General features: G+C 45.8%; 1 protein-coding gene and 2 pseudogenes across 1 annotated transcript in view; all 3 read right to left on the bottom strand.

Moving 5' to 3' along the window:
* The window catches only part of BAIAP2L1 (BAR/IMD domain containing adaptor protein 2 like 1), a 109441-nt gene that overhangs the window by 91471 nt on the left and 5200 nt on the right, over positions 1-12770 (bottom strand). The window lies entirely within an intron of this gene.
* Positions 2630-3487, bottom strand: RPS3AP26 (RPS3A pseudogene 26; annotated as a pseudogene).
* Positions 6635-6704, bottom strand: LOC124901862 (uncharacterized; annotated as a pseudogene).

Raw genomic sequence — 12770 nt, forward strand, 5'->3', positions numbered from 1 at the left:
CCACCACACTCCAGCCTGGGCAAGAGACCAAGACTCTGTCTCAAAGTATCAAAAAAGAAACAAACAAACAAAAAAAAGAAAAGAAAAGAAAGAATGGAAACACAATCCTTCCTATTCTAAGCTGCTATACCAAGATGACTACCATGTAATATAACTTTCAATCTTTTTTTTTTTTTTTTTCAGACAGAATTTCCTTCTTGTTGACCAGGCTGGAGTGCAATGGTGCGATCTTGGCTCACCACAACCTCTGCTTCCCTGGTTCAAGCGATTCTCCTGCCTCAGCCTCCCGAGCAGCTGGGATTCCAGGCATGCGCCACCACGCTTGGCTAATTATTTTTGTATTTTTAGTAGAGACGGGGTTTCTCCATGTTGGTCAGGCTGGTCTCGAACTCCAGACCTCAGGTGATCCACCCACCTCGGCCTCCCAAAGTGCTGGGATTACAGGCGTGAGCCACTGCGCCCGGCCATAACTTTCAGTCTTAAAAGTAACATTTCAACCAGAATCTGAAAATGTGCCTCTTTTCTGGGATCTCCTCTTTGTGTAAGTTTGTGCATGTGTGGGAGAGACAGAGAAGTAACATGTGAATGTGTGTACTTACGTTTCATTCCACCAACTCTGTAAAGTCTCACATTTCAGGCTTTCAAACACATAAAAATCTACACATTTCTGCAACATTTATTATTATGCCTACGTTGAGCCCACCCCATCCTGGACCCAGGAAACACAAAGATGAATGAAGAAAGAGCTCCAGGCCGGGTGTGGTGGCTCACGCCTGTAATCCCAGCATTTTGGGAGGCTGAGGCGGGCAGATCACCTGAGGTCAGGAGTTTGAGACCAGCCTGGCCAACAAGGTGAAACCCTGTCTCTACTAAAAATACAAAAATTAGCTGGGCGTGGTGGCACGTGCCTGTAATCCCAGCTACTCAGGAGGCTGAGGCAGGAGAATCACGTGAACCTGGGAGGCGGAGATTGCAGTGAGCCGAGATCGCACCATTGCAATCCAGCCTGGGCAACAAGAGTGAAACTCCGTCTCAGAAAAAAAAAAAAAAAAGAAAGAGCTCCAGTCCTTGGAAATGTACCGTCTTACACGGAAACAGGTACAAAGAAATACCAAGGCAATTCACAGAGACGTGGTGAAAATAAGAAATGCAAACACCTGAAATATTACGTTATCATTTAGAAATATAAAACTACAGATAAATGGCATGTATTAAGGACCAGTAACTGATTAGTTACTGATTCTGAAATAGCTGTTAAAAGATACATACTTTGAAGACCACAGAGTATACTAGGCTGTTTGACTAAGTGCTCTTGCCTGCCTAGTTACTGTTTTTAAAAGGTGTGTCCTGGAATAAAAAAGCAATCAATAAATTTACAGGAAAGGACATCTTATGCACTGGGTTACGTTGTTTAGAAAGCCCCAGAGCACTGAACAGGTAACAGGAACTTTATCGGATCAAAGTACACTGACTTACTGCACTAGTTCTTTCCAAATGCTACTTTTATAGTAGTATCTGGAATCATTCTAGCTAACTTCCTTCAACCAGACTCTGTGAGACAGATCATTCTACCTTTTTTTTTTTTTTTTTTTTGTGAGATGGAGTCTCGCTCTGTTGCCCAGGCTGGAGCGTAGGTGGCACGATCTCGGCTCACTGCAACCTCGGCCTCCCAGGTTCAAGCGATTCTCCTGCCTCAGCCTCCCAAGTAGCTGGGTTTACAGGTGCCCGCCACCACGCCTGGGTAATGTTTGTATTTTTAGTAAAGATGGGATTTTGCCATGTTGGCCAGGCTGGTGCTGAACTCCCGAACTCAGGTGATCCAACCACCTTGGCCACCCAAAGTGCTGGGATTACAGGCATGAGCCACGGCAATCAACCTCATTCTATTGTCTTAAAATCGCAGCTGGGTGGGTGCAGTGGTTCATGCCTATAATTCCAGCACTCTGGGAGGCTGAAGTGGGCAGATCACTTGAGGCCAGGAATTCAAGACCAGCCTGGCCAACATGGTGAAACCCCATCTCTACTAAAAATACAAAAATTAGCCAGGCATGGTGGCAGGGACCTGTAATCCCAGCTACTCAGGAGGCAGAGGTGGGAGGATTATTTGAACCCAGGAGGCGGAGGCTGCAGTGAGCCAAGACTGTGCCAACTGCACTCCAGCCTGGGTGACAGAGCGAGATTCTGTCTCAAATAAAATAAAATTGCGGCCTTTGCGATCTGAGGAATTGTTCAAAAACTCCAAATGATTTAAAAACAGTTTAAATTCTTTACTTTTATTTCTCAGATACCAGTAAGGGGAAATCATTTCTTTTTCTTTTGAGACAGGTTCTTGCTGTGTTGCCCAGGCTGGAGTGCAGTGGCGCAATCTCTGCTCACTGCAGCCTCGACCTCCCGGACTCAAGCGATTCAGCCTCCAGAGTAGCTGGGATTACAGCCACACGCCCCCATGCCCAGTTAATTTTTTTGTTTTTTTCGTAGACATGGGGTTTCACTATGTTGTCCAGGCTGGTCTCGAACTCCTGACCTCAAGCAAGCTGCCTGCTTCAGCCTCCCAAAGTGCTGGGATTATAGGCAGGAGCCCCCACACCCAGCCAGGAATCAACATTTCTTTTTTTTGTTGTTTTTTTTTTCACAAATAGCACTCTTTATTTGCCACTATTTGAAGTCTGAACTTTAAACAGATTCTTGGACTGGTGGTTCATATCCATCAGCTCGTTCAACTTTAGCACCTGTCTCGTCCCCAGTGGCTTTTCCAGAACTACTGCCTTCACCATGAAGCTCCATGAGCTTTCCCAATTCAAACTTGGGCTTCTTCAGCATTTTTACTTTTCTAACGAAGACATCATGGAGAGGATAAATAGACTGGCAAGCCTTTTCTATGTCTTTTCCAATGCTGTCTGGAATCAATTTATTGACCACTTCTTTCAAGTCATTTGTCTGCACCTCTCGGGTCATGATTTCGATCATCTTCTTCCGGATTTGGCGGACCTGTTGGTGCTGAGCATAAGAGGTCTTCCGTATCTGATTGTTGCGTTTTTTAGTAAAACCAACACAGAACAGACGAAGCAAGTAACCATCGGTAGTCTTGACATCAACGTGAGCTTCAATCATTGTCTGCCATTTTTTGACCATGGAACACATTTTGTCACGGGTAAGATCCATGCCATGGAAGTTAGGCAGTTTTTACCCTGAACATCTTCAGTAATCAGCCTGAATTTTCTAAATGCAACTTCATCATTCTGCAAATCAGCAAGACTCACTTCAAACACACGACCCTTGAGACCATCAGATGCAATTTTGGTTCCTTGGGTCCTGGTGACGAGCGTCTTTCCAATATTTCTTATACTGAACATAGCAGGTGCTTTCACATCATACCAATCTTTCTTAGAAAATGGATCAACCACTTTCTTCTTGGCTCCCTTTTTGCCGCCTTTCGTAAGGCGCTTGTTCTTGCCAACCGCCATGGTGCTGGTCAGAGAGCCAAAAGCAGGAATCAACATTTCTACAATGTTCTTTCCGAGAACTTTTTTTTGTCTCTCATCGACTTCTCTCCTATATTCAACTTTCCAAAGGTTTTTTTTTTTTTTTTTTTTTTTTGGTGACAGAGTCTCGCTCTGTCGCCAGGCTGGAGTGCAGTGGTGCCACTTCAGCTCACTGCAACCTCTGCCTCCAGGTTTCAAGTGATTCTCCTGCCTCAGCCTCCCGAGTAGCTGGGACTACAGGCGCCCGCCACTGCACCCAACTAATTTTTTGTATTTTTAGTAGAGACGGGGTTTCACCGTGTTGGCCAGGATGGTCTTGATCTCTTGACTTCGTGATCTGCCCGCCTCGGCCTCCCAAAGTGCTGGGATTACAGGCGTGAGCCACCGTGCCTGGCCTTCCAAAGACTTCCTTAAAGACTGTACATCGCCTTAAAACTCCTCTCAAACTTAACCTACACGCGTATTAAGCTTTTCCTTCTTTCTTCCCATATTGAGACAAAACCAAGTCCAAATATTGAAGTTGTAAAGGCCAGCCCCCGCTGGGACAGAGGGTAGGGAAGGAGCAAGGATGTTTAATTTACGACATGGGCAGGTCCAGGCGGAGGAGAGGGGCTGCGGCTACTAGAACTTGGGGTTGCTGTCCTGTCACAGCTATAAACTCTGGATGGGCACAGACCTTCTTTGTCTTTTCTCCAGCGTGGTTTCTGGTGGTAACCATGGTGCTTGGCACAGCTGTGGTGCTCAAGAAAACAGCTGCGGGAAGAACTCATGTTGGTGGTAAAAGCTCAGCCCGTACCTAACAGGTGCTCACAACATGGCAGTTGTTATTACTGACACGATCTCAGTGCCACCAAAGAGTTGGTGATGATTTCAGTCACCCCTGTGTGATCAGCACAGGTCTTCAGCATTTAAAACACAAAATTCTTGAGTTCTTACTATGCGCCACCACGATAAGGGATTAAATAAACCTTCAAGGGCTGGATGCAGTGGCTCATGCCTTTAATCCCAGCACTTTGGGAGGCTGAGGTGGGAGGACTGCTTGAGCCCAGGAGTTCGAGACCAGCCTGGCCAACAAAGTGAGGCAGGCCCTGTCTCTACAAGAAAAAAAAAAAAAATTAGCTGGGCGTGGTGGTGCACGCCTGTAGTCCCAGCCACTCAGAAGGCTGGGGCAGGAGAATTTGCTTGAGCCTAGGAGTTGGAGGCTGCAATAAGCTATGATTGTGCCATTTCACTCCAGCCTGGGCGACAGAGTTAAGACCCTGTCTCAAAACAAAACAAAACAACAACAACAGAAACCAACAACCAAAAAAACCTTCAAGGACCATATAGCTCCTTCAGGGAGATAAAAATGTGTGCCAATATTTTCAACACTATTCTCTTATCAGGTATTTACTCAGCTCCACCTATTTCAGTCATTTGTAAATAAGGAGGCAGGTAATAAACAGATGAAAATCAATGCTCTTGGTGGGGGTGGGGAGTGACAGTCTAGTAAACACACGCTATGCCTACTAACAGTTAGCCCTAATTGAATACCTACGATGCGCCAGATGCTATTCTAAGAGCTTTCATGTATGACTGCGTTTAATCTTCACAGCAACCCTAGGAGCTATTATCATCCTTATTTACAGACTAAAGCACATCAAATGAAAGAATAGGGCATTATCAAGTACATACAACCATCGGGGATGACACAAAGGATGCACTGGTTAGCTGAAGAAGCCTTCTCAGAGGGCATAAGAGTAAGACTGAGTCTCTAAGCAGATGCCTGTAATCCCGGCTACTCGGGAGGCCAAGGCAGGAGAATCGCTTCAACCCGGGAAGTGGAGGTTGCAGTGAGCCGAGATCGCACCACTGCACTCCAGCCTGAGTGACAGGGCGAGACTCCCTCTCAAAAACAAAACAAAACAAACCCATGTTTTGCATGTTTAAACTTTTTGGTTTACAGGCATATTGTTCCTGCATTTATTGTTCAGTCACATATTGTACTGTCAGACATAACTGATGTCCTGTATCTTAAGCTGCTCAAAGTGTAACATAAGCCCATGCTATGATGAGACATACCATTTAGTCCATTAAATAATCACAACTGGGCCAGATGCAGTGGCTCACATCTGTAATCCCAGCACTTTGGGAGACCGATGCAGGCAGACGGCTTGAGCCCAGGAGTTCAAGACCAGCCTGGGCAGCATAGTGAAACCCTGTCTCTATGAAAAACATAAAAATTAGTCAGACTTGGCGGCACGTGCCTGTAGTCCCAGCTACTTGGGAGGCTGAGGCAGGAGGAACGCTTTAGCCTGGGACGTTGAGGCTGCAGTGAGCCATGATCACACCACTGCACTCCAGCCTGGACAACAGAGACCCTAAGAAATTAAAAAAAAAAAACAAAAAACAAACCATTCAAGTTTTATCCAAAAAATCCTGGCCCCTAAGTATGAGGAATTATCATTGTGACTTTCCTGATTTGTCACCTGAGGTTTTTGTGGCCAGAAACAGATTGGTCTATTAACTAAGACTCAGGCAATTGTGTCAGACAGGCATGTGAAGGTGACAGGGGGCCCTGTCTTCTGTACTCCTCTCCCCTCCCCCAACAGGCAGGGGCTTCCCTCCTCCTAACTCAGCATGGGGCTGCTGGATTAGGGTAGCTGGTGGTTGGATCTGTCATCTGGGACCTATTCCAACCCCTACCCCAATCTTTTCTGCACATTTGTTCGAGGCCTTATTTTTTATTTTTTTTGAGACAGAGTCTCACTCTGTCACCCAGGCTGGAGTGCAGTGGCACCATCTGAGCTCACTGCAACCTCCGCCTCCCAGGTTCAAGCAATTCTCCTGCTTCAGCCTCCCAAGTAGCTGGAATTACAGGTACCCACCACCATGCCCGGCTGATTTTTTTGTATTTTTAGTAGAGACGGGGTTTCACCATGTTGGCCAAGCTGGTTTCAAACTCCTGACCTCAGGTGATCCGCCCGTGTCAGCCTCCGAAACTGCTGGGATTACGGGCATGAGGAGGCCTTATATTTTAATCATCTGAGATTTCCCCCATACTTTTGACAGGTTATTACCACGCTTGTACCTCTTCTTGTCCCTGTTGTCACCTGCTTTTGTGCCTTTCAAAGATACAGCCATGCTTTTAACTGCTTGCAACATAAGAAATGACTTTTTGCTCTACACATTCAGAGAAACTTCTGAACAAACTATAGAAATGACCCCTGAAAGTAAAGTCTTGACTTTTAAAAGGCAGTTTTAAGAACTGGAATTTGAGTATTTTCAATTTTGTTCAGCTAGTTGCCTGTTGCACGTGTAGTCTTGGGTTAGTAAATTTTTTTTTTTTTTTGAGAGGTAGTCTCGCACTGTCGCCCAGGCTGGAGTGCAGTGGCGGGATCTTGGCTCACTGCAAGCTCCGCCTCCCGGGTTCACACCATTCTCCTGCTTCAGCCTCCCGAGTAGCTGGGACTACAGGCACCCGCCACCGCACCCGGCTAATTTTGTGTATTTTTAGTAGAAATGGGGTTTCACCATGTTAGCCAGGATGGTCTCTATCTCCTGACCTCGTGATCTGCCCACCTCGGCCTCCCAAAGTGCTGGGATTACAGGCATGAGCCACTGCGCCCGGTCTCGGGTTAGTAAATGTTAAACATGTATTCCCATACGTAAAAATCAAGACAGAAATCATAAGATTTAAAATTAGGTTTATCTTTAAATGGGTAATTTGCAAACAGAGGTAGGAGATGGCGAATTTTAGCTTAGTTTTAAAAACATTATGTCCATTAAAACGGAATATATATATTTATCTGCTTTACATTAAATATTATAAAAGTAAGCAATTTACATTAAAAAATATAAATATGGCCGGGTGCAGTGGCTCACGCCTGTAATCCCAGCACTTTGGGAGGCCGAGGCGGGCGGATCACAAGGTCAGGAGATCGAGACCATCTTGGCTAACACGGTGAAACCCCGTCTCTATTAAAAATACAAAAACAAAATTAGCCAGGCATGGTGGTGGGTGCCTGCAGTCCCAGCTACTCAGGAGGCTGAGGCAGGAGAATGGCGTGAACCTGGGAGGCAGAGCTTGCAGTGAGCCAAGATTGCGCCACTGCACTACAGCCTGGGTGACAGAGCAAGACTCTGTCTCAAAAAAAAACAAAAAACAAAACCAAAAACTCCTGCCCTAGAGTTAACTAGTGCTTAATTGATATTGTTTAGGGACTTTTTAGCCTCCAAAGTACCATATGAATAAACACAAGTTTTTTTGTTTTGAGACAGTCTCTCGCTCTGTTGCCAGGCTAGAGTGCGGTGGCGTGATTTCAGCTCACTGCTACCTTTGCCTCCCCGGTTCAAGCGATCCTGCCTCAGCCTCTGGAGTAGCTGGGACTACAGGCGCACTCCACCACACCCAGCTAATTTTTTTTTTTTTTTGTATTTTTAGTAGAAATGGGGTTTCACCATGTTGGCCAGGATGGTCTCGATCTCTTGACCTCATGATCTGCCCGCCTCGGCCTCCCAAAGTGCTGGGATTACAGGCGTGAGCCACTGTGCCCGGCCCATAAACACAGTTTAAGCAGGAAATCTGGGGGCATCTTCACCCACCTGCTGTTCTCTCAAAAGCACAAGCACTCTAGGAGGTGAAATACTGGTTAGATCTCTGACTTGGGCTCATCTATTCTGCTCCCTGGTTTGGGAACTCATTCTGGTAATATTTTTTCTTCTATTTTTTAAAGAAAGAGAAACCGGCAACATTTTATCTCATTTATATGCATCTCACTTTTATCCACAAAGACTTCAGGCAGCTGTTACACCAGGAACTAAAACCATTAAAATCTAAAACTTGGCCAGGCACAGTGGCTCACGCCTGTAATCCCAACACTTTTGGGAGGATGAGGCAGGCGGATCACAAGGTCAGGAGACAGAGACCGTCCTGGCTAACAGAGGGAAACCCTGACTCTACTAAAAATACAAAAAAAAATTAGCCGGGCATGGTGGCGGGCACCTGTAGTCCCAGTTACTCGGGAGGCTGAGGCAGGAGAATGGCATGAACTTGGGAGGTGGACGTTGTGAGCCGAGATCGTGCCACTGCACTCCAGCCTGGGCGACAGAGTGAGACTCCGTCTCAAAAAAAAAAAAAAAAAAAATCTAAAACTCAAGTCACTAAAATCATGATAAACCAGAAGGACTCAAGGTTAGGAAGACAAACAGAAGTATAAAATCAAGGCTGAGGAAAATAAAAACAGAAATCTAACGTCTGAAAGGTCACAGAGCTGTAATTACTCTGCACATATCTACAAGTTCTAAGTTTATGGGGAAAAGTATGCCTAGTTATTAATAGGCATGAAATCGTAGGTGTTCTGGCCAATGTCCATATTCTATATGGTACACATGCTTAAATACTGAAAACACACACACATCCCTTCTATGTGTTATTAAAAAGGAAGTGGTTTTAAAAGATCTACTTAATTGAGCTGGGAACGACGGTGCACGACTGTAGTCCCTGTTACTTGGGAGGCTGAGGTAGGATCACTGGAGCCCAGGAGTTCTAGGTCAGCCTGGGCAATGTAGCAAGACCCCCTCGCTAAAAAAAAAAAAAAAAAAAAGTCTACCTTAGCTGGGTGTGGTGGCGGGTGCCTGTAATCCCAGCTACTAAGGGAGGCTGAGGCAGGAGAATCGCTTGAACCTGGGAGGCGGAGGTTGCAGTAAGCTGAGATCGCGCCATTTCACTCCAGCCTGGGCGAACAAGAGTGAACCTCCGTTTCAAAAAAGAAGTCTACCTAACTGGCTAGAGTTCAGGGAAAGGCGCACTCTCACACCATGCAGACAACAGCATCATTTGGTGCATGCTTTCTGGAGGGCATTTTGCAATGTGGAGCAAACAGGCTTTAAAATGTACCTGCCCTTTGACCCAGAGCTCCCTTCTGGGAATGTGGCTTAAGGAAAACATCATGGATCTGCTTACAGATCTGTGCAAAGCTTTGACTGCAACCATGCCCATGGCTGAGCTGTAATAGCAAAGTACTGGCAATGATCTATGTCCAACCACAGGGGCTGATCAATAAATTATGATGAAAAATGGAGTCCTGTGCAGTCATCAAAATGATAGAGCACAGAAAACTGACATGGGGATATGTACGGAAAAGTATCAGAAAAAGCGACAGCAATAGTTAGTGTTATCTCTGGTTTGCAGGATTCTGGGCACACTTATTTACACTTCTTGTTCTTTTTGAGACAGATTCTTGCTGCCACCCAGGCTGGAGTACAGTGGTGCAGTCTCAGCTCACTGCAACCTCCGCCTCCCAGGTTCAGGCAATTCTCCTGCCTCAGCATCCCGAGTAGCTGGAATTACAGGCACCCGCCACCACGCCCAGCTGATTTTTATTTATATATATAGATATATATATGTAATTTTTGTAATTTTTGTGTATATATATACATACACACATATATATACATATATACGTGTACATATATGTACACATATATGTATACACACACATATATACATATATACGTGTACATATATGTACACATATATGTATATATACACACATATGTGTACATATATATGTACACATATATGTATATATATACATATATGTGTGTGTTTATATATATATGTAATTTTTGTATTTTTGGTAGAGATGGGGTTTCGCCATGTTGGCTAGGCTGGTCTCAAACTCCTGACCTCAGGTGATCCATCCTCCTCGGCCTCCCACAGTGCTGGGATTACAGGTGTGAGCCACTGCACCCGGCCATGAAAGGGTTTTATTACATAAGGGATGTTGAAAGCACAGATGAACCCTATTTAAACTGGAGCTCGGAGTGGGGTGCAAAGTTATGGTTAACTGCATTTTCTTGTTAATTAAATATTAATGAAAATACCTTCCTTTTCTTTTTATGTAACTTTTCTATTTATTTATTTTTTTTTGAGACGGAGTCTCCCTCTGTCGCCCAGGCTGGAGTGCAGTGGCATGATCTCAGCTCACTGCAAGCTCCGCCTCCTGGGTTCACGCCATTCTCCCGCCTCAGCCTCCCGAGTAGCTGGGACTACAGCCTCCCGCCACCGCGCCTGGATAATTTTTTGTATTTTTAGTAGAGACGGGGTTTCACTGTGGTCTTGATCTCCTGACTTCGCAATCCGCCCGCCTCGGCCTCCCAAAGTGCTGGGATTACAGACGTGAGCCACCGCGCCTGGTTTATGTAACTTTTCTTGAAAATGTACCTACTTTGGACCAGGCGCAGTGAGGGGCTCATGCCTGTAATCCCAGCACTTTGGGAGGCCGAGGCGGGCGGATCACCTGAAGTCGGGAGTTCGAGACCAGCCTGAACAACATGGTGAAACCCCATCTCTACTAAAAATATAAAAATTAGGCCAGGCGCGGTGGCTCACGCCTGTAATCCCAGCACTTTGGGAGGCCAAGGTAGGCAGGCAGATCATGAGGTCAGGAGATGGAGACCATCCTGGCTAACACGGTGAAAACCCATCTCTACTAAAAATACAAAAAATTAGCCGGGCGTGGTGGCAGGCGCCTGTAGTCCCAGCTACTCGGGAGGCTGAGACAGGAGAATGGCATGAACCCAGGAGGCGGAGCTTGCAGTGAGCAGAGATCTCGCCACTGCACTCCAGCCTGGGCGACAGGGAGACTCCGTCTCAAAAACAAACAAACAAACAAAAAAACCCACACATAAAACAAACAAAAAATCCCTTTCATGCATGCAGTTATGATAGTTTTAGAGTCTAATGAACTTCAGTTTATGTCTTCCTCTAGTGACTACCACAACTGTATGGCCTCTCAGACCAGAATTTCCTAGGTCTTGGTTTGTCTTCTGACATGAAGGATTTCCCACAGGGCTCCCTGCCAAGGTTACATACACCCTACAGAGAAACGGCAGATCATCAGCAGGCCTGGAACAAACGATTTTGTTTGTGTTTACTTTAAAATTTTTTTGCACATACCCACAGGAATGGCAAAAATTAAAAGGATGGGAAATAGCAGCAGCTGGCAAGGATGAAGAGCAACTGGAACTCTCATACTCTGCTGGTGGAATGGCAACTGGTGCGTCACTGTGGAAAATCAATCAGCAGTTTCTCCTAAAGCAAAATATTTGAATGTCTAATACTCAGCCAGTCTGCTCCTGTGTCTCTATCCAAGAGAAATGAGGGCCTATGGCCATCAGACGTGAGCCAGAACATTCATAAAGCACGACTCATAATATCTTGGAATAGTCTGAACATAATCCCAGCTGGGCACAGTGGCTCACGCCTGCAATCCCAGCACTTTGGGAAGCCGAGGCAGGCGGATCACCTGAGGTCGGGAGTTCGAGACCAGCCTGGCCAACATGGTGAAACCCTGTCTCCACTAAAAATACAAAAATTAGCCAGCGTGGTGGCAGGTACCTGTAACCCCAGCTACTCGGGAGGCTGAGACAGGAGAATCGCTTGAACCCGGGAGGCAAGGGTTGTAATGAGCCGAGATCACACCACTGCACTTGAGCCTGGGTGACAGAGCAAGACTCCGTCTCAAAAAAACAAAACAAAACAAAACCAAAGAAAGAAAGAAAATAATCCCAGCCAGGTGTGGTGGCTCATGCCTGTAAGCCCAGAACTTTGGGAGGCCGAGGTGGGTGGATCACGAGGTCAGGAGTTCGAGACCAGCCTGACCAACATGGTGAAACCCGATCTCTACTAAAAAATACAAAAATTAGCTGGGCATGGTGGCATAAGCCTGTAATCCCAACTACTCAGGAGTCTGAGGGAGGAGAATCGCTTGAACCTGGGAGGTGGAGGTTGCAGTGAGCCAAGACTGAGCCACTGCACCCCAGCCTGGGCGACAGAGCAAGACTGTCTCAAAAAAAAAAAAAAAAAGTTAGGAGAGGGGCTACCCTTGGAGGGGTGCAGCGACTGGGAGGTGGCACGAGGGGGACTTCAGGGAGTGGCCATGGTTTGCTCCTTGATCTGGGTGGTGGTTACACAGGTGTGTTCAGTTTGTGACAATTTAGTGAGCTATGTATACTTAAGCACAACTTTATGTATATTGCTATTCAATAAAAAGTTTTAAAAACAAATTTTAAAATATATTTGCATGTGTCAGCAGATAAGTTAAACTAAATTTTATGCAGCTTTTATAACTTATTTTTAAGCTGGAATATTGAGTTGGAATTATTACAGCTTTGAATACAGGCCTGTAATCCCAGCACTTTGGGAAGCCGAGGCAGGCAGATTACTTGAGCTCAGGAGTGCGTGACCAGCCTGGGCAACACAGTGAGACACCATCTCTACCAAAAATAAAAAATTAGCCGGGC

This window comes from Homo sapiens, chromosome 7, assembly GCF_000001405.40.
Source record: "Homo sapiens chromosome 7, GRCh38.p14 Primary Assembly".
NCBI lineage: Eukaryota > Metazoa > Chordata > Mammalia > Primates > Hominidae > Homo > Homo sapiens.